This window comes from Homo sapiens, chromosome 3 (genome assembly GCF_000001405.40).
Source record: "Homo sapiens chromosome 3, GRCh38.p14 Primary Assembly".
Taxonomy (NCBI): Eukaryota; Metazoa; Chordata; class Mammalia; order Primates; family Hominidae; genus Homo; species Homo sapiens.
Genome location: NC_000003.12, coordinates 171,333,756 through 171,356,028, shown reverse-complemented (window position 1 = coordinate 171,356,028; position 22,273 = coordinate 171,333,756). Strand labels below are relative to the sequence as shown.

The following is a 22,273-nucleotide window of genomic DNA, read 5'->3' as shown; positions in this document are numbered from 1 at the left end:
ATTTGTACTTTTCCTCTATTCCAAGCAGGGGGAAGGCCAGTTACCTGTTACCTGGTGTGGCATTGTAGCAAGTTGCTTACTCTTTGCTTTTATATTTCCTCCTTTACAGGGATGCCTAGGTTTGTGTGTTTGGGGTTGAGGGTGGGGAGAGACAATGAAATAGAGGATGGAAAGAAAGAATTTCTGGGTATTGTAGAGGAGGATGACCTGGCTACAATACCGAGATGTAATCTCTTGGATAATTTGCATGACTGCAAGTTAGGAATACCTGTGACTCTCTATTTCCGTTTCCATTAAGGATCACATTATTCACTTTTTTCCTTACAGGTTTTAGTTATATAACATCAGTAACCCAGGAATGCTAGAGATGCCTCTATCAGATACTTTCATGACAAGTTTTAGCCAGAGTTATCTCATTCTTTCTCTTTGTCAAAATAGTGAAAGTTAGTGAAAACAGGACAGTGTGTCCTCTTCTTTGGGTGGAGGCAAAGCTGATTTTATATTCTCTTCAAAAGAGTTGCAAATTAGGCAGATTCTGATTTCTCCCCAGCTAACACTTCTGGTGATTTCAGCTGGAGAAAATGAATGTTTTGTGGCCTAAATGTTTAGTACATTTTGTTCTACCATTTTGTACCCACTTGTGAACTTATGAAGAGACACTTCAAATACTTCAGAACTTCAAAACCTTTCCATTCCCTCAAGAAACCTATCACAGAAGCCAATCACCAAAGCCTCCCTCCTGCTCCATATGAATATGCCCCTCTGAGAGTGCTTCAGGGAGGAGGTGCCTGAAGCCAAGCCCTCTGAGGCAACCCCAGCTTTCATGGTCTGCTGTAGGATGGGGAAATGGGATGAGCAGATGATTAATACGGAGCCATGGCTGCTCTGTCCTTGGGGTTCCAGTTTATCTGTTGCTCAGAACAAGATTTGCTTGAATAAGACGAATGCCTACGGTTAATCAGCTGAGTAAATAGTCATAAATTAAGATGTGACCAAGAATCCAGTGTTCACAGGGGATGGGGGAAAATACAAGACAGAAAAGACAAAAACAAAAAAAAGTCTGCTAACAGAACCCAAAACAGAATAGCAACATTGAAAACAGAACGCTCTTTGAGTATTGTTTTCTAGTCTAGAAGCATAGGAGATTTATGGCTACCTGATTAAGTTGATGAGTAATACTATGGTCAGATGTGCTCTTTGAAATTTGGCCTAAGTACTATGCATCATGGTGTTACCTCTCTCTGAAATCTATATATTTGTGAATAGCTAAAAGTAAGATAGGTATTGACAATGTTTTCTTTCACAGCCCAATCACTACTTAAATTATTTCTCCCTCAGCAGTCTTAATCTACATTCTCAGTGTTGAAGAAACTCCTTAGTCTGTGCAACAGTCTCTAGGGAGTATCTTTGCATTTCTAACAATCAACTCTGGAGATTAATTGGGATTATGAGGCCCATTTGCTCATAATCATAAGATTTCAGTGTCTGACTCAGGATCTTGTTTCTCAGGAAGCCCAAGGGTAAGGACACAGAGAACTCCTAGGCTTTAGTCTTGTGTCAGCCGAGTCCTGCTACAAGCTGCCCTTTTGGCCCTCCGAGGTCCTGGAGGTTTTCTTTTGAAATTTCCTTGAGGAACACGGCTCAGGTAGTGGACCAGCTCAGGTGCTCTAATTTCAGTGTGAGTCTGTGGGCAGTTGCACTCAACTACTTCTCCGTGGCTGGTGTCTGTTTCCAAAGTAAATACAGGGGAGAAAATCCCCTTTTTACAATCAGCAATTTGGGTTAGAGCAGAAGCAGTGAAAGTGCCTAATGCTGAAAATTAGTTTTTTAAAACAAGGATAGCTATACAAAGGTGTGTAAATCTACATATATATTACATATATATAATGAATTTGGTGTTTGTGCTGAGTTCTATGCTTTACTGGGAGTGAGTTTCTAAATTGTTATCAGTTCAAGAAAATTTTTTTTTCTTGGTAGCGCAGTGTCACCCTAAGACATGAATGTGGTCTTAAGGGCTGATTTTGCTAGAATAATGGCACTTTATACTAACATACACCTTTTGGGGGCATTTGGAGGGTAGAGGATATCTACAAAAAATTCTCCAGAATAAACATTTTAAGAAATCATAGATATTAACTCTGAAGAAGTACCAGGACCACAATCATTACTGCCTACTATTACTAAGAGAAGAAAAAATAAGTTAACTTTTTAACTCAGCTTGGATGAAGGCTGGGCATCCAAAATAAAAACTTTGATTTGTAGGCAAAACACCCATGTGGAAGGTCACATTGCAGAAGAATATTGCTGTCTTCCTAGACTTGAACCTCAGAGGTTAAGATGAGTTCAGAACTCTTGATAGTTTAAGAGCCATCTCTTTATTTTTTTTAATCCTGAGTCATCTCTTGTAGTCAGGTGTTTCATAGATTTAGTATGTGCTTTGGTTGGCAGTTCTTGTCTTTACTTGTTAATGTGTCTCTTTAAAAGCTCAAGGACCGACCTTGTTCTGTGCACAGTAAAAGTAGCAATAGTATGTAATCCCGTATGTATAGTATATGTATAGAGTAACTATGCCCATTATAGGAAAGGCTCGGTAGCAGGCTTCCGCAACATCATAAAGTAAGCACTTACTGCTTAGTATCCCTGCTTTACAGATGAAAAGTCTAAACCTTGCAAAATTTAACTTACCCTAGGTCACACTGACAGTAAGTGGCACAACCTGGAGTTGAACCCACAACCTTTTGACACCAGTGATTGAAACAGATATAATTCATTGGCATAATGAAAGCATGGTGGGGTCGACTGCTCAGTGCAAGAGTTCAGTCATCTAACCTTTAATTTAAAATTTTCTGGTTTAACTGAAGACTACTATTTCTAGTTCTTAGGATCCTTGTAAAGTAGAGCAGCCACCTTTAGTGTTGTTTACATGCTTTGTTTCTCATATCTGACCATTCTAAAAAGGTAGAAAAGAATTATTCTGCTCACAAATGACCTAGTAATTCTGCCAATATGTTGAAATAAATGTTTTTTAAATTATCCTATTTAGGAGGAGAGGTGACTTTAAGGTAGAAACCCAGCCAAAATATGTTGCTATTCTAGAAGGTTCTTTGGCTTGGGTCAATCAAATAACTTTGATGTTACTTTTGCATTTCTGAATACATTAAAGCCTCATTAGTTTTCAGAGAGGAGACTTGGGCAAAACTTGACCTTTTAAAGTACCTTAGAAGGAGGCGTTTACCAAGCAATTTAAGAGTATAAACAGGAGTTTAAGAAGTTTGTTGAAAGCTTCTGTCCTTAAGTACCCTTGGGTATCTTAAGACTGTTTATTCTTGTTGATATGCTAATCACAAGTCATTCTTCAGTATTAAAGCATTTCCTCCAAGGAATTAATACTTTCACTTAAATAGGGTTCCTGCATGTACTTGGTTCATTAAACTGTACTGTAAAGTAGTTCCTTATTTACATAGTGATACCAACCCTTGCATCCCAAATACACTGAGTTGGAGAGGCTTTGCAGAGTATTAAACACATTTATGTCAAACATTCGCCATTTTGGAAAATCTGAAATTATCAGTTGCTTATTCTTTGGATAAATAACACAAAAGAACATGTGGCTAAGTCACAAAGGGGATGCCTTTAAAGTTATGTATGGAATAATGGTCTCCCTCCATACTTGGGGTGTGGTAGCCTTGTGGAATCCAAAGGCTTAAAAGGTGAATAGATTTTTCTGAGGATTGTCTGGAGTTTTTAATGCCACATGAAGATATGGAAAATTTTATGGATCACCCTGGATGAGAACCCAGGATGAACCTTTCAAAAAATCAAACACTTCTCTTTGAAGCCCAATTTTGCATTTGTGTATGAACTAGACCCTTGATACTCCAGGTGTGGCCTGCTGTCCAGCAGCATGATCAGCACCTCCTGGGAGATTGTTGGAAATGCAGAATCTCAGGCCTTTCCAAACCCACTGAAGCAGAATCTGCTTTTTAACGAGACTCCCAGGTGATTTATATGCCCATTTAACTTTGGGAAGCATGAGATTAGGCCATCTCCTTGGTCCTGAGGACTAGAGATAGCTTGATTAGTGGAATGCCTTTCCTTGGCATAAATCCAGGGTTCAGGATGGGCAGGGTGCCTGAAATGCACCATTTAACTTTTGTGTTGAATGGTTCTCCTGGGAACTGAGAGGGCTCAGGCAGGGCCTTTTTGCCCAGTGTGGTTGGTTTGTCATATCCCACAGAGATGAATCACACATTTGGATAAGTGAAGAGGAGAAGGGAGATCTCAATTCTGGCAGTAACCAGGTTACATGATGCAGAGTCTGTAATACTTAGGTGGAGGGTACATGAAGATTTGCAACATTTGGCTACTACTATGAATTGGAAATTTTCCTCCCAACTCTTACAAATGCAATGATAGCCCTGAAACTCTGTCCTTCAAGATATTTTGGAACTTTCTCTGGTGCTGTTATTTCATATTAAAATGAGAAAAAGAACAAGAACATGAGAATAAATGAATTCTTTTCCTCTCAAAAACAACATCCAATCAAAATACCTAATGAAAAATGAAGATGACACATAATGCAATTTTTGTATGAATAGTTCTTTTGATTAATTATATAGAAGATCTAAGATGACCTTCTTTCAATGGTTGAGAGATCTGTCAAGTGTTTTTACAGTGATAGGATAGAGAATAGTCACTCAGACACACATATACACACCTCCTATATCTGCATGCATTCATACACACACACACACACATATATACATATATATATATATTTTCTCTATGGTTGTTGGGGAAAGTAAATAACATAGTTTGCATGAAGAATACATAGGGCAGCCCAGCCATGGTGGCTCAGGCCTGTAATCCTAGCGCTTTGGGAGGCCGAGGTGGGTGAATTGCCTGAGCTCAGGAGTTCGAGACCAGCCTGAGCAACATAGTGAAACGTCATCTCTACTAAAAATACAAAAATTAGCCAGGTGTAGAGGCACGTGCCTGTAGTCCCAGCTACTTGGGAGGCTGAGGCACGCGAATAGCTTGAACCCAGGAAGTGGAGGTTAAGAAAAAAGAATATATGAGACAGATTAAAGTGTCCAGCAAGTGTTATTATTATGGGAAGCAGCAGGTTAAAAGCATAAAGTTTGGGGTTGTATCCCTTGGGACCAGAATCTTGGCTCTACCACTTATTGGTAGACCTAGGCTTCATTGCTTAACCTCTTTGTGCTTTGGTTTTCTCTTCTGAAATTTAGGAATAATAGTACCTAGCTCATAAGGATTAAATGAGATAATACATGAAATGGCATTTAGAAGAATTTTAGGTATACAGTGAGTACTCAAAAAAGTTAGTTTTTATGTATGCAGTATACTCTGTTATCTGAAATTCAGTTACAGGATTGAGTTTCTTTGGGCATTTTTTTTTTTTTTTTTTTTTTTAGCAACAGAGCTTTAAACTTGTTATATGGAAATCTTTCACTTCCTCTTCCTCTTAATTGCAGTAGTTAATTTTCCTCATGCTAATTGGATTTCAACAGGGAGAAGAATTAACAGAAAATATTTGAATGTGGCATTATCAGATGTAGTCATCTAATATCTTCAAATGTCATAGAGAGCTTTTTCATTCTGGGTGTTGAGATTAGTTGTAAAGAGCTCTAGAAACACCTCAGAATCCTGGATCAAACAGCCTGGTTCCTAATCTAGATTCAGATTCAACAAATACGGATTGGCTACCAGGTTTGTTCTTGGCTACCAGCTTTGTTCCAGGAACTGTTCTGGAACAAATACAGAGGTTAAGACCATAGGTTTGGATCTAAGCAGATCTGAGTTCAAATTTTGATTCTGCTTATTAGCTGCAATATTTTGTGTAAATATTGTGTAAGGACAATGGTATAGACAATATTGGCAGAGGCAAAAGAACTAATTAAGAATCTCATTCACCCTCCTCAAAAACATTTGCTATAATGTTGTATTTTATGTCTTGTTTGTTCTGTAATTCTTCTATATGTTCATTGAAAAATATATAGAATATTTTCCTTTGGGTAGCCCATCTTCTAGCTCCCTGGGAAAGATTTCATTGGCCACTAAAAACAACTTAAGATCTTGCTTTGGGAGTAGATAAGTTCATTCACTCAGATTTAACAATTTTAAGACATACAAAAAAAGCCCTCGAATACTACTTTTAGAAGATCCTGGATACCATTGGCTGCTGCTTATTCCACAATGAATGTATGCTCGGTGTAACTAGAATACGCAAGAATGGATAGCTTTCAAATATTAGTGGGGAAAATATCCTTTACATCAAAACATGACTGAAATGGAATGGATTACAGGAATGTTGGAAATACTGGGCTAAAACATTATTCTGACTTTCCATCATCCTGTTTTGACAGGACCCTAGACAGGCAGTTTTGGGGAAATGTGTCAAATTTGTGTTGAGCTAGAATAAACAATCTAATTGTGTGACACTGCCTCTTGGGAATCAGGAGTCAGCTTCTTCCTCACCCTGAAGTGATTAGTTTATGCCCTGGAGCTGTCTGACCCTTGTAAAATTATCCCAGCTGGTAGGACTGCAGTGGCTGATCTCATTTTTCTGTGAATGTCTTATTCTTGTGGGAATCTTTATCAATCATCTGCCTCTCTTTGTACAATACAAGAGTTATTGTAGGATTGTTTCATGGGCTAGTAAAAGGAGGTGCTTTGTACCAACCAACAAATATTTCTTGCTCTCTTGCCAGTGTGAACCACTAATTCTGAAAAATATGATATGTGATTTAAAATATAAATAAGCACTCAGACCACTATCCAAAATTTCTAATTTTCCCAGTAGATTGGTGGTGGAAGTTCTGGTCATGTTTTACTGTTTTTCTTGAGAGATGAAGGTAGTTGATGATCTATATGGAAACTTTTTTGGGTGTTATAGCTGAGAGTCTGAATCCTAGTATTTCTAGGATTCTAGGATATCACTAGTTTTCAGCCATTCAGCAATACCAACCTCTTTTTTTTTTTCCAAGTTCATCCTAGAACTTGCAGTCTTTTTGCTTAATATTTTTCATTAAAGTATTTTATTTACTTAAATTTTTCAAAAAGAAAATTCGTTGCTACCGTAAATGAGAAACTCAATATTTTCAGCTATATTTAAAAATATAGTACATACTTTTTAAATTAAAATATTTGCCCTTGTCTCACTAAATCATGTTGGTATTTGGACCACTATACTTTAAGAAATAACACTTTCATTTGTGTTTGAGGCTTACCAGCATAGCAGAGGAGAGGGACTCAAACACAAATGAAAGCACTACCCGGTGCTGTAGTATGACTGTTGTAGGCCCTCCCCATTTTTGCCTCCGTGGGCCCCTTTCTCCAAGAAAAATAAAACAACAAAAAGTTAAAAATTAGGCTTTATAACCTCATTGGTGTAAGACAAATATTATATGTTAAAACATTTTCTTTGGCCTAAGAATTAGTTTTTATCTTCTAATTTTAAAATAAGAATAATTTTTTGTTGACTGCAAAAAGTACTGTAGGCTCTAGGTCCTGTGCTGTCTGCATCTAATGGATACGTTCGTTGGCCTGTAACCACCCCATCCTCTTCAAGAGATCTAAAGGCTTCACTCGGTGGTGGTGTGGAAACCACAAAAATGAAATGTATTTGGAATCTTCTGTTATATCCTTAAAATTTAGATGGATTCTCTTTATGCCACATGATAATCATTGTTGCGTCAGTTTAAAATTATGTTAATGAAATTACTATAGAAAGGTTGACTTAAACAAAATCTATGGTTTCCTGCTGCTGTAATACTTGGCATAGAGCTGAGTGCCCCAGGGAGTACTTGTGCTCTGGTTTGGAAGCACAGGCATGAGGCATGTTAAAGTAGAAAAGCTTTTCTTTTTTTCCTTTTAAACTTGTGCTCAAGAGAAGAAATTGGGTTTATAATGGATTTACTTGTTGTCAAAAACAAACTATAGATATCATCCTAGCACTGTGGCTACCATGCACAGACAACCTTAACAGTGAATAAGTAAGTCCATGCAGATTCTTTAGAAGATGGTAGAAGAATCTACACAGCACTATTTGGTTTCAAGCTCATTTGTAAGTCTTCTTTTCTTAGAGCCTAGTGAGTGATTTACACTCTCTTAGCTATTTCTAGCAAAGAGGAAGAACAGTCACTCTTGATGAGTGACTAAAACTGCTGCTTTTACCTCCTTTTTAAGAAGTCACTTCCCTAGGTTTCCTTGGTATTAAGAGGGGGATGGCTTTCCCCTTTTGTCCTCTCATTACTCTCTTATCTAGGACAGGCTATTATAAAAGCTTTTTGTTTGTGAGATCAGTTCTGATTTCTAACTTCCCCACTCAAACCGAAATACCACACTTGAAGTTCCCCCAAATTGCTGCTGCTCCGATGACTCCTGGGTATTGTACGCTAAATTCAAGGATCTTTATTTAGGTTCTTTGCTCTCTTGAAAAGAAAATCCTAATGAGTCACCCAGTTTGCTGATTGCTTTGTAGGTGTGACCAGTTAAATGCAATGATAGTGGAGTTGAAATAGAAGAAGTCATTTGGGCTAGCTCATTTATCCTGAATCTAATGTAGCCTGTTGGCTTCTCTTTACTTGTGTGTGTGTGTGTGTGTGTGTGTGTGTGATAGGCACTTCTCAGCTGAGGGCCAGCTCTGCAGGCACTTAGGACTTGTATACCAGGCATCTAGATGCTACTTAGAACTAGCTTGGCTGTCAAAGAGAAGAGAGTGTGCTCTATGTGTTTGGTGCCTGAGCTAGGGTTTTGTCATTTTTCTTTTCTTTTTTTTTTTTTTTCAGCAAATGAACCAGTGAGTGAAGGGCATTATCACAACTCCAAGAACCAACTAGGAGTCACCCATGACATCATCTCCTGAATTTCATCACCAAGCCCAGCTGATCCTATTTCCTAAATGGTTCCTGATTTCTCTCTTCTGTTTTCTGTCTCTGCCACCACTGTCCTAGCACAGGCATTGCACATCTCTCATATGAACGCCTGCAGGACTGTCCCTTGATGTTATCCTTGCAGCCCCTACATTCCTACTGTGCAGCCAGTAAAGTCATATTAAAATGCTTATTTGATCATGTCTCTCTCCTGTTTAAAACCTTTTGAATGATTTCCCATGTGATCAAGAGTAAACTTAGCCTACAAGGCCCAGGATGATCTGAACACAACCTTCTTCTTAGTGCTGTTCTTTCTCACTCTCTGGGATCCAGACATACTGCTTTCTCTTTACACAGAAAACCTAATTTGCTTCCTCCTGCCTCAAGACCTTTGCACATTCCTGCTCCTGGAATGTTCTTCTCCTGTTATTAACTCCATGTCACTTTCTCACAAAACTGTTCTTCATCCTCCAGAAGATCCCAGGCCCCGTTTGGGCTTTCATACCCCCGGCACATTCTGGTGGGGTGCTAAACTCAGATTATAGTGATACACATTGGTTGAATAATATATTTATCAGACTATAAGCTCCATGAGGCCAGAGACTTGTCTACTTTGCTTACCACAGTATTCCCAGTAACTAGCACAGACCTACCAAAGACTGGCTGCTCAATAATTTAAAGAATAAGTAGAGTGCAGTGCAAGGATGACATGCGCAAGGTGTATATGAATAAATAAGGAATCATACTTACATATCCAAGTCATCAGAAAATGTTTAATTATGGACCATATCTTTAATAGGGCACAAGGTTACATAATACAGCTTCAGTGATTTTTCTTCAAAAATCATAAAATCAGTGTAGAGACTTGAAGGCATTTATCTACAGTGACTCAATTCTGCATAGATTGTTAAGCTTTTAGAGTAATTAATGATCAACCACGCCAAGCAGAGTCTGACTGCAGTGCCCTTCTTCCTGCTGTTTCATCTGCCTGTGATCCTCTTCTCCAGACACCTCTGTTGCTTGTTCCTTCACTTTCTCCAGGTCTCTACTCAAATGTCATTTTATTAGAGAGGCCTTCCCTGACCACCTTATAGAAAATAACACCCCACCCTCTCCATTCCCTGTTCCCCTTACCATGTTTAATTTTTTTCCCGTAGCATTCATCACCATCTACCATCCATCCATCCATTCATCATTCATTCATTCATTTGTTCACTTCAGTCTCTTTTCACTAGACTGTGCCTTGTAGATAAATAAGGATTCTGTTTTTGTTGAGTACTCCATCCTTAGCACCTAAAACAATGTTAAAACAACTAGATGATACTAAAAGCATATTTTTTGAATGCATGAATGATCATAATGAAGAAAAGCTTACTATTTTATCCCCTTGCAACTAAGGAATAAGGAAGGGGAAAAAAAGTCCATTTTCACCTTTTGACCTCTTCTTGCCCTTCACCAAAAACTGAGTTCCCTGGTGTTTTTTCTCTCATATGCTGATGTGGTGCAAATAGCCTAGGCTTGAGGGTGAGGGTGAAGGTCGAGTTCCCACCCTATGATTGTATGCTCCATTGCAGCTCTTGACAGTCTATTAGAAATCCATAACCATAGATACTTCTGCTTCTAGGGCTTTCTTTGTGAGCCTAAGATTTAACTACCAACACCTATGTTGTCATGTGGCAAAAGTAAAGAAAAAAAAAAAACTCGGTGTTTTCACCTAAAAATAACAGCTTGCTCTTTGTCAAGTGGCAGCCTATTGCCTGCTCTTGCATTGAGTCCTTCTCCAGGCAAGATGTAATATAACAAAGGAAGAGACTGGTGGTCACAAGCCAGGACATTGCAGGGCTCATTAATTACTTGGAAAATGGTGCCTGGGCTGCAGCCAGAATCCCAAACAAAAAAGGAAATAGCTCCTGTTCTCTAATTGACAAGTTGATGAGTGAGGTAAGAATGAAAATCATTTCAGTAAGTAAAAGGGGGAAGAAATCAAATGGAAGCAGTAGTTGTGTTGAAGAACAAGTATACAATTAAGACATATTCCCAACCCTGAGAGGGTTGATTCACATCAGTTGAGACCATAGATGTCACTGTGTGCTCTAGGCCATGAGACGAATTCATTATCTCTTATAAAGGATAGGGAACATCAATTTAGGGTAAGTGTTGATAGTGTTGGAGCCTGGGCCAAAGTAGATGATATATATATACAAATGAGTTATTAATCTCGGCAGCTCCTAAATCATTTAGTCCTTATGAGAACTGTGTTGCAAATATAAAGAGAGTTAAATATTCTCACTCCAGAAAATAGGATCTATAATTTTGGCAAGGCTAAAAATTCAAAGCCATCTTAGTGAATTTGTTGTAATTAAATGGGGATCGTTTCAAGCAGGAGGAGTCAGTTAAGAAAAACGAGAATTTCGTAATGTTGTAAAAAGAGGTAATTTAAGAAAAGTACACTTAGTGGGTTAAACACTGTTCCATCTTGGTGTGATTATATTTTGGAGCAATGTTTATAGAACTTAGCCTGTCACTTTCACAATTCTGAGCTGTGCAAAATAGGAAGGTCCGGTCACCTAATACTTAGCAGAAATAAGGTCATCAGTACCTTTCTTGTGTGATATTAATACAGCTTTCCAAATTTGAATGACCATAACATATCTGTCCCATAAAAACACTGCATTAGGAGAAAAAGGAAAATGAAAACACACACACCCCACTGCTACTACCATCACCCCTACTATCACCTCAGAACCCCTACAAAGAAGCAAGACTTTCTTGTGGTTGTTCAATAGCCTATAAAAAATGTAAAGAATATTTATTTATGGAAAGAGACAGCTTTGGAGTTTGCAAGCAATCTCAAGGTCAAATCTTGTCCTTTGGGAAGAGGTAACCAGAATTGCCCACTGAGGGTCAGATGTTTGTAACTCCCAGAAATGTGAACGTAAAATGAATACTAAAGCTGTGCTGCAATCATATAAAGAGAAATGCAAACAGGGGCAAGATATGGGATGGGGTTTAAAGGAAAATTATTTGGTTTTTTGCTTTTTTGGGGAGGCATAGAAAAGATGAGAAATAAATGAAACTTTCTAGGAAGAGACAGAATTTAAGAACTAAGTTGAGCAATGGGAAGGAGGGAGGAAACACATTCAGTTTGAAATGTTGATTTCTGCTCAGACTAGACTGTCGAAGGCTTGGTTTGTAAATTGGTTGAGCAGAGTCATATGAGGAAGGAACTCCCCCTTTTGTTTTACTGAAACAAGTGAGTGAGGCATCTAAACTCATTTATGCCTTTTGGGTAAACCACCAAACACCTCTTTAATAATAACCTACTTGGTTGTGATGATACATTGATTTGGAGATAAATCAAAAGAATCATTGGAGAAGAAAGACTAGAATTCTCCATTAGGATATATAACTCTAGAGGCACTTTGAGAGGCAGGAAAATATGAGATGTGGTATAAATAATCTCTGCCTGGAAACCATGCAGCAGGCTTAGTCTCAATGCCCATTCACCTAGAGGTTGACTCCAGAGAATCTGCAGAACAGCATAAGTGAACAAAGGTTCTGTTTCAAAGAATTGCAAGCAGGTGCTGTGGCAGTCATTGATACTGTTCAAATAGTTCTGTACTCCCTCCATCCTGGGCACATTTAATTACTGGTGCCAGATCCTTCAGGCTTCTCTTTCCCCAGTGAAGGTGACCAACAACCTGAGAGATGGTGGCTGCTCAGGGAGCCTTGGTGTTTTGTTTTGGAATTATAAGTAAGATTGATGCTTTATTGAGATTTCTCTAGTTTAGTCTCATTTTATTGGGATTTCACTAGTTTAGTCTCATTTTCATTACATCATATTGAAGTAACATACTATCAAAATGAGTTATCCCTGTTGAGGCTGATGCAGCAGTGACTGTCAGGTTTCTCTACTGTAAACGGCTCACCCCTCTCCATGCTGTATTCTTTGGCAGGTCCCTATGTGCAGCCCACAGCTAAGAAGTGGGGAGTTAGACTCTACCTTGAGGGTTGTATTAGTCCATTTCAACATTGCTATGAAGATATATCCAAGATGGGTAACTTATAAAGAAAAAGAGGTTTAATCGACTCACACTTCCATGTGGCTGGGGAGGGCCTCATTATTATGGTGGAAGGCAAAGGAGGAGCAAAGGCATGTCTTACATGGTGGCAGGCAAGAGAGCAGGTGCAGGGGAACTGTCCTTTATAAAACCATCAGATCTCATGAGACTTACTCACTATTACAAGAACAGCATGGGAAAAACCAACACCCATGATTCAGTTACCTCCCACTGGGTCCCCCATGACATGAGGGGATTAGGGAGCTACAATTCAATATGAGATTTGGGTGGGGACACAGCCAAACCATATCAAGGATAGAGTAACTGCATACATTATTTGAATTCTTCTGCATAGGAGATTTGTCTTTTCTGCCCCATTTATTCATTCATTTATTCATATCAATATAGATTCATGTGTATTTTATTTTGTACATTGGGTTATATTCTAATACAACCTTATGTATTTTGTTGCTCAAATTTTTCCAGCTTTGGCCATTGGAAACTCTCAGTTGTCTGCTGTGCCCCTTTGCCACAGAGACACCTCCCTCTTTTTTTGTTTTTTTGTTTTTTGAAAGGAATCCTCATTTTCTGGTACCATAAGGTGCTTGAGAGTGATGATTTCTGAGTGATTGCAACAAGCAAAGCCTTTCTGCCAGCCTGTGGAGAACACGTATTCCTACTGAGTAAACAAAACTCTGTTGAGCCACTGAGACTCAGGTTGTTTCACAATTTAATCTAGACCAGTGGTTCTCAAAATATGTTCCTGGGACCACCAACATCAGCATCTGCTGGGAACTTGTTAGATATACAAATTATCTGGTCCCACTTTAGACCTGAAGAATTGGAGACTGTGGGATTGGGACCCAGCTGTTTGTGGGTAACAAACCCTCCAGGTAATTCCCATGCACACTAAAGTTTGACAGCTTTAAAAGCTTTATAGTTTCAGATCTAGTCTTCGTAATTTATATGAGTAACATAAAGAGGCCAAACTCAATGGATCTTTTGGTTATATTTAAATTATTATATGTTGTTCCACAGCAAAACATTAACAAAGTTACTTTAAACCAAGATGGTTGGTTTTCTTCATAATAAAAATGTAAAACATCTTGAAAATACATGGATATGAAGGAATATTACTTTGGGATGGGGTATAGGGCTTGCTGTACACTGGGTCCATTTTTGCAAACTTCTAGCAATAGCTCTGCCAACTTCAGGAGATCTCTGTTGGGATCAAATAAGATGGTGGATTCAACAGTGCTTGGTGAGCTGGAATGAACGTATGGATTATTTTTGAGTTAAGCCTCTCTCCTATTAGACTGTAACTGCCATAAGGATAAAGACTAGGCTACTACCACTGCGTAGACCAGTGCCTGATACAGGGTATGTGTTTAGTGAATGTTTGTAAAATGATCACGTTATTTTTTGGGCTTTTGTTTCCGCATAATGCCTTGGGCTTTCTGCCACATCTGCACAGCACTTGTACTATTATTCTCTTACTTAAAAAACAAAAAACAAAAAGCTGAGATGAAATTTACATACAGCAAAATATATGGCTTTTTTTTTTTTTTTTTTTTTTTTTTTTTTTTTTTTTTTTTTTTTTTTGAGACAGAGTCTCGCTCTGTCGGCCAGGCTGGAGTGCAGTGGTGCAATCTTGGCTCACTACAACCTCTGCCTCCTGGGTTCAAGCGATTCTCCTGCCTCAGCCTCCCAAATAGCTACGATTACAGCCTGTGCCACCAGACCTGGCTAATTTTTGTATTTTTAGTAGAGAAGGGGTTTCACCATGTTAGCCAGTCTGGTCTCGAACTCCTGACCTAAAGTGATCCACCTGCCTCGGCCTCCCAAAGTGCTGGGATTATAGGCATGAGTCACTGTGCCCGGCCCAAAATATGTGATTCTTAAGTGTACATTGTAGTGGATTTGATACAGGTACTTGTACTATACTAACAAAATAGATTTATTTAAATTGACTCTTTTTGTCCCATTTACAACTGCATTAATAGCCATAAGCTCATGGTTTTGTAGTCTGTTATATATTTTCCAATGAATATTAAAATCAGTAACCCCTAGCTACCTCTCCAATAGCTCTCTTCTTCCATCCTTTCAGAATTTTGTTCTTGGAGGAGAACAGCTTACTTATTTCCAAATTTGTAGGCTTTTTTTTTTTCCCTCCCAAATACCAAGAGTCCTCAGGTCATTGTGTTGAAACAGACAGAGGAGTGACTTTTGGACCACAGAAGAGTTTGAGAGATTGTTTCAATTGGACTGCCTGTTTTCTTGTTTTTCTGTTTTCCAGGACAACTTTGGAAGAAGCTGACTGCTTTGAAATCAATTCGGTACACTTCAAAAATTAACTTGCTCCATAGGCATTTGTGGTACACCAGTTAAACACAGAGTTCTGTGTTAGGCACTAAAAGAATATCCTTAGAAAGCTAGCTGATAGGTAGCCTTGTGGGAGAAAGGAGTAAAGTCCACGAGTAAGTATAATCAACAAGGCACGATGCAGGGCACTTCAGAAGACTTGAGTTGTGTGCCATGGGATCAGGCAGTACCCTACTTCAGTCTGTAGATTTGTTCACTAACTTGAAATGGGAGTAAATTAAAATTCAAACTGCACTCATCCTGTTTATGTATTCGGTTTACTGATAATCACAGGTTAGTAATTCAGATCTCAATGGCTGAGATGTTTGGGCTAAGTATTGTCAAGGGATTGTCATATCTGCTTTAGAACTGGTTTACAATACTACACTCATTTTATTTACATTACAAAAGTAATGAATGCTTATTGTGGAAATGTAGAAATATGTAGAAAAATGAAAATGAAAATCCTTAATCACTCATAGTCCAACTGCCTAGAGACTATTGCTGGCCTTTTTGTTAAAAATACATTTTCCCATGGTTAGGATCATACTTCATGTAAAGTATTGTAACTTTAAAAATATTAGCATTTTTTTCATGTCATCAAATATTCTTTATAATATTTTAATGGTAGAATCGAAGTAGATTGTATGTATCTACTGTCCTTTACATGACAGTTTTATCATGCATTCCAATTTCTTGCTGTTATATCTTTGAACATAAATCTCTATGAATTTTTCATAATTTGTGTATATAATTATATGGACACTATTTCTAGATATAACTAGGCTCAAACCAATTAACACAGCCTAATAAGGCAGAGGCAGACTGGGAGGGGCTGGAAACCGGCCCATGAGCTGGTGTATGCCAACAAACACACCTTGCAGGTGCTGCCAGAAGGCCTCGTCTGGCAGCCAAGGCACACAATCTGAAAATTACAGCAACAGACCGGATTCTGGTAGCACTTGGCATCAGGACATCCAGAGAGCTTGTGGAGTTTCCCAAGAAGTCTGCTTAGATGTCTTAAGACTGAGAAAAGAGGGAGGAAGTCTAGTGAGAAGCAGCCTGGCCATCAGCCAGCCTGGGATTCAGCTGAAGGACCTCGGTCTGTTCAACCCACAAGCATTGAGGGGCTACTGTGTACCAGCACTGTGCTGGGAGCTTGGGATACTTCCACAAACAGACGCAGATCTCTGCCTTCATGGAATGCATATTCTAATGACGAAAAGCTTCCATGGATGGGGACTGACAAAAGCGAAGTGGCATTCTGGTTCTAGAGGAACTGGATATTGAGTATATTCAAGATAGACTCAGGTAAAGGGAACAAGGCAGAGGCCAGTGATCAGCACTGGCTTCTCTAATGAACTGAGCTGAATATCAGAGTGGACACATGGCTAGAGCCACACTCATGGCAAGGATGACTTATCAAGTCTCAGAGTAGAGCCTACAAGTGCATCTTTCTGGCCTAAGGCCATATTAGTCCAAACAGTGAAGATTTGCCTCAGCCCACACATGGCAGGTTCAGGGCTGACACCTGAATTTTTACACCTGGTTGTAGGAGATGGGAGGTAACTTAGTGCCAATGAGTGAAATGGAGAAAACAGAAATGTGTATTTAGCCCTCTGACTAGCATGTATTATATTAGGTTGTTAATAAAGGTTTGTTAAAGGGATGCATGAATTTAGGAGAAAAGAAAGACGAACATCATGGGGAAGGCATGGGAGACAGAAAATAATACTAATTGATGTAGCATAGTCATTATGAGCTTGGGCAGAGTCAGACAGTCCTAGATTCAAACGTTAGCTCTTCCATTCTCTGTCTTCAGTTTCCTCACCTGTAAATTGGGCTAATAATAGTACCTTCTGCACTGTACGGTAGTTAGGCAATTCCTATAAAGAGATAAGCACACTTAGGGCCGGGCATGGTGGTTGATACCTGTAATCCCGGCACTTTGGGAGGCCAAGGCAAGTGAATTCCCTGGGGTCAGGAGTTTGAGACCCTTGGGCAACATGATGAAATCCTGTCTCTACTAAAAATACAAAAAAAAAAAAAAAAACAACTTAGCTGAGCATGGTGGTACATGCCTGTAGTCCCAGTGACTTGGGAGGCTGAGGCACGAGAATCACTTGAACCTAGGAAGCAGAGGTTGCAGTGAGCTGAGATCATGCCACTGTACTCCAGCCTGGGCAATAGAGCGAGACATTGTCTCCAACAGAAAAAATAATAAAAAAGAGTTAAGCACATTTCTTGGCACACATAGTAAGCATTCAATAAATTTTAGCTAATAAAAGTAATGTTTAATGTTTGGCTTTTGGGGGATATTAACATATTACACATTCTCTGGTGAGGTTCAGCTTTCTTAACGTCATGAACCTAGAAAACTGGGAAAAATTACTTTCATAAGGATGGTGGGATTTCATATATACACACACCCCTATACATGTCACTTTTGTTGTTGTTGTTACTGAAATGAGGGCTTCTCCAGTTTAGAAATGAGGCAATGAAGAGTGGAAGGATTAACATAAATAATCTTAAAAAAATTGTTGGTTGATTGGAAATCAAAGACTTGGAGTGGGGAGCCATAAGAGGAAGATATCTTCCCGCAATCCACATTACCATTATAATTACCGAAATATAGGTCCACGTAGAAGAGCCTGGTAAAATTAAGAGATTCAAAGGTACGTAGTTTCGATTAAGCTGCTAAATAGCTTCATTCTTCAATCGTGGTTAGAACAGCTTCTCTCCCTTCTGCTTATGCTAGGATGGTATAAGACAAAAAGATCTAGAGCTAGGGTTCTCTATCAGTTTCCTATTTTGTTTGGGCTTCTGCTCATTGGAGCACTATTTATCCTGAGGGCATTTGTAGTTCTCCCTCTGGGCAAAGTCTAGAAATCTTTTCTGCCTCCTGAAAATCTGTTGCTTGCATGGTAATCTTGAGAAAATATTTCTAGAAGTGAATGAAATGGCCAGGCACTTCATTTAAGCAGATTATCTTCTACCTTCTTTGACTATGGAACTCAGGCCTGGATAAATATTCTATTAGGAAAGGTGTGATCACAGAAGATCCAGTCAGCAGGTAAGAAGTATATGTAATACACATCTATCGTTATGGATAAGGAACAGTAAGTGGGAATAAGGGAGCAGAAGTTTCATGGAAAGTCTTGCTGACCAACCTCAAGAATGAAATATGGCATTGTAACTATATCCGCCCAAATAGGATGCCCAGGCTTAAACCGTATTTACATGCAAAGGCGTCCCACAGTGCCCAGTATTACTGTTTCTTTATTCAACGTTTGGACCTCATGTCCCTTCCTCATCTTTGCTTATCTGAGGTCTTTTGCTTTCTCCCTGTTCAAAACCTGCTTTCCGTTCCTCTTGCGACTTCCTCTGTCCAGGAAGCACAGACTATCACTCCATTCTCACTTGGAGGCTCTTACCTTCTCTCCTTCCAGCTAAGGGGTATTCGTGTCTTTGTTTTTCTTCATAGGAACTTCCTGCCTGGCATGAGATTGCCATGGATGCCTGGTGGCCAGGCTTGCCTTTGAGCTGTGATAATGCTGATCTCCTGGAGTCCTGTTAGTGCACAGCACACTTTTACGTTCTCTTTCATGTTTGGTTGGCACAAAGTGCTCTGGGGTGGGCAGTAGGTACTTCATTATCCTCATTTTATAGTCATGAAACTGGCTTAGAGAGGTGAGGCTGTGGGGAAGAGGTGAAGCTGTGTCAGAATCCAGAGGCTTCCACAGGGAAAGGAGCTCTTGTGTTTCTCATCCCCACTAGGATTCCAGGGAGCATGAAGCTCCCTGCCAAAGGGCTGTGCTGTTAAAATGAACAAAAAGGAAAGTTGAGGTCTTACTTTAGAGCACTGCATTAGAGCAGTAACCCTACTTCTACCTCACTTTGCTGACCTTAAACATGATATTTATTTGGTATCACAATTGGAACTGGAAAAACTGGCCCCTTCAGGGATCTATCACTGTTGGTTGGTAAGTACCCACAAAACTTTCTAGTGCACCTGGAAATGCTGATGGAGATTTTTCTCACTGATCCCAAGGACACTTATTAATGGACTTTGCCTACCTCTCAAGCAGAGCCATGATCTGGAAATAAGCCATAAAATGTATGTCATCAGGTCCCTCCGAGGGGACTATGGTCTTTGTTCTTAGACTGTTAGGCCTTTCCTCAGAGCTGTTTATGCTTATTTTTAAAAAATTGTCACAGAAGCTTGACTTATGTGGTCATACAGCAGGTTACAGTGGCACAGAGATAACAGCATATAGTAGACCCTGAGAGAGAGGAGGGAGACAAAAACACTGAAAATGAAACACAGACCTAATTTTTAAAAGAAAGGCACACAGTCAACTGATAGGAGGTTAAGAGTGTGCTCAGTTGTTACAGCACAGTATCAAGGATATTTGGAACAAAAGGCCTTAAGTTAGTGTGAAAATGGTTAACTTTAAGGAGTAAAGGAAGTGTGTAATTCATCTTAGGAAATTTGCCGTGGAAAATGGAGGAAAACAAAAACCCATTTTGTTAGTTTTGACAAGGTTATTAACGGATATCAGTCAAAATATGTTGGAGAAATTTAAATGAGTAATGTAGATTTTATTTCCATTACTAGATACTCAGTTCACCAAAGAAGCTATCTGATTGGCCTGTAAAGGGGCTGTATGAATATGTAAAGATACTTAACATCGGTCATCAGGCAAATGCAAATTAAAATTGCAACGAGATACACTACGCACTGTATGACTAAAGTTAAAAAGACTGACAATATCAATTGTTGCCAATGTTATGAAGCAACCGGAACTTTCATACCTTGCTGATAGGAATGTAAAATGATACATTCTAAAGTGCCACTTTAGAAAGCACTTTCATAGTTTCTTATGGTTATTTATACACCTACCAGATGACCTGGCAAATCTACTTGCAGGTATTTACCCAGGAGAAATAAAACACACGCCAGTACCAAGATCTGTATTGAATGGTCATAGGAGCTTTAGTCATAATAGCCAAAAGTGGGAAATGATCTACATACTTATCAAATGGAAAATGGAAAAACAAATCTTGCCACATCCATATAGCAGAATACGACTAAACAATAAAAATGAATGAGCTACTGATACATGCAACAGCATGAATGAATCCCAAAATTGTTATGCTAAGTGAAAGAAGCCAGCCTCAAAAGGCTGTGTACTGTGATCCCATTAATATCACATTTCAGAAAAGGCAAAACTATAGGGATGGAGAACAGATCAATGAACTAGGATTATGGGGAGGTGATGTGACTACAAAGGGGCATGAGAGAACTTTTTAGGATTAATTGTGGTGGTTATGTGACTGTATACATTTGTTAAAATTCATCAAACTGTACATTTAAGATGGGTGAATTTTAACATAGATTATACCTCAACAAGAAAAAACAAAATTTGGAAATTGCATTACTAAATTAATAAACAACCTATGCATTTTCTTTTATTTGTCCAGCCTTTCAACAAAATTTTCTTGCACGCAAACAGTCTACCAGGCACTGTGCTTATCCCTGGGGATAGAAATATGAATAAAATGAGATCCTTGCCCTGATCACTTTTAGTTCCAGACCCTTTTGCATTAAAAAGATTCTCCAAGCTAATAGAAGGTTGCTAGTGATTGGTTTTCAGGAGGAGACAATTTTTTTTTTTTTTTTTTGGCAGTTGGGGAAGGAAGGGTGCATTGTTTATTTGTATCTCTGAAGACTCTGAAAGTCACTTCAAATGACAGTGATCTGTTGTAAGCGCTAGTAGAATAATAGATTCTGTCATCAAAGGGATTGGCACAGTTTATGGTAAAAAAAAAAAAAAGAAACTTATAAAGATCAACTATACAGGATTCAAGTTTTTAAATTTAATACAAGCTACCTTCCTTTCATACTCTGCTTTTCCCTAAGGAAATTACTGGAGTGTTTGAAGCCCAGAAACTTGCTGTAGTCCCTAGAAACAATGTGGTGATGTCAGACTTGGGTGAATAAACAGTAGCACCTGTTCAAGACTTCATGAGTCTTTTTTCTCCCCCTCTAGTCTTTTTTGGCACAGCCTGAGGTTAGTTAATCTTTAAAAGAAGGAAAACGGAATGAGCCAGAAGGTAGCTTGATTCTAGACTATTTTTAGAAGGCTCCTCCATGCTGCTCCTGAGTGCCAGGTTTTTGAGAGCCTGGCAGGGCAAGCCATTGCTGGATGCCCTAATGTGGCCATGAATCAGCTCTAGGTCCTCGCAGGTCTCTGATGGCCACCAGTCCTCCCGGAAGATGCTTTCTGTGCTGCCCTCTCTTCTCTGTCATTCTCCTCCATCTCCCAGGCATCTTTTCCAACATTCTGTTCCACTCACTCCATATCCTCAGGAAGGCGCCTTCCAGTTTCTACGGTCACAGTGCAGAGGATTGTGTATGTGTGTGTGAACAGAGAGGAGAGAGCGAGAGAGAGCAAGGGCAAACAGGCAGGCTACTTGGGTGATTTTCCTAAAAGCCAAATCTCACATTATTCTTCCAGTTCTTAAAACCCTTCTTTCCATTTTAATTTGTTCTAGGACAAGCACCCTGGTGTCTGGTGCACAGTCATTGTGATCAGCCCCACCCACTGTCCAGTGCTGTACTTGACACTTCCCACCCCTCAGTCAGATACTTTTGTTGGTGGGAGGTGGTTTAGGAGGGGTGATGATAACAGTGGTGGGAGAGCTGGTGAAGAAACAAGGCACTGGTACTTGAAGACTTGCTCTCAGCTCCTGGAACAGGCTCCTGGGTTGTCCAGTGTGGTTGGCCAGGGAAGGAAAGGAAATGATGATTAAAAGACAAATACGCAGTTGGAGAAAAAAACTGCCTTTGGCGGGAGGCGCTCCCTGTGCTGTATCTGTCGAGTAACTGAGTGCTGAGCACGATGGGGAAAGGGAAAGGTTACTATCTGGGGCCTTGCTAAAATCTTTGAAAGA

The 22,273-nt window shown here is 39.3% G+C and overlaps 1 protein-coding gene across 9 annotated transcripts in view, besides 2 other annotated features; it reads left to right on the top strand.

Moving 5' to 3' along the window:
- TNIK (TRAF2 and NCK interacting kinase) overlaps positions 1 to 22,273 on the top strand; it is a 401,995-nt gene that overhangs the window by 104,380 nt on the left and 275,342 nt on the right. The window contains exon 3 of one of the 9 annotated variants that reach the window (NR_027767.2): positions 8,811 to 9,099. The exons of the other annotated variants lie outside the window; for them this stretch is intronic. The gene's annotated coding sequence lies outside the window, so the exon portion shown is untranslated. Of the gene's footprint in view, positions 1 to 8,810; positions 9,100 to 22,273 lie in introns of those variants that run through there. 9 annotated transcript variants of the gene reach the window in all.
- Positions 8,495 to 8,544: an enhancer, noted in NCBI's record as "active region_20814". NCBI's record gives its function as "activates an Ori minimal core promoter by ATAC-STARR-seq in GM12878 lymphoblastoid cells {active_cell/tissue: GM12878}" and the evidence as "EXISTENCE:reporter gene assay evidence [ECO:0000049][PMID:35858748]".
- Positions 12,019 to 12,108: a silencer, noted in NCBI's record as "silent region_14892". NCBI's record gives its function as "represses an Ori minimal core promoter by ATAC-STARR-seq in GM12878 lymphoblastoid cells {active_cell/tissue: GM12878}" and the evidence as "EXISTENCE:reporter gene assay evidence [ECO:0000049][PMID:35858748]".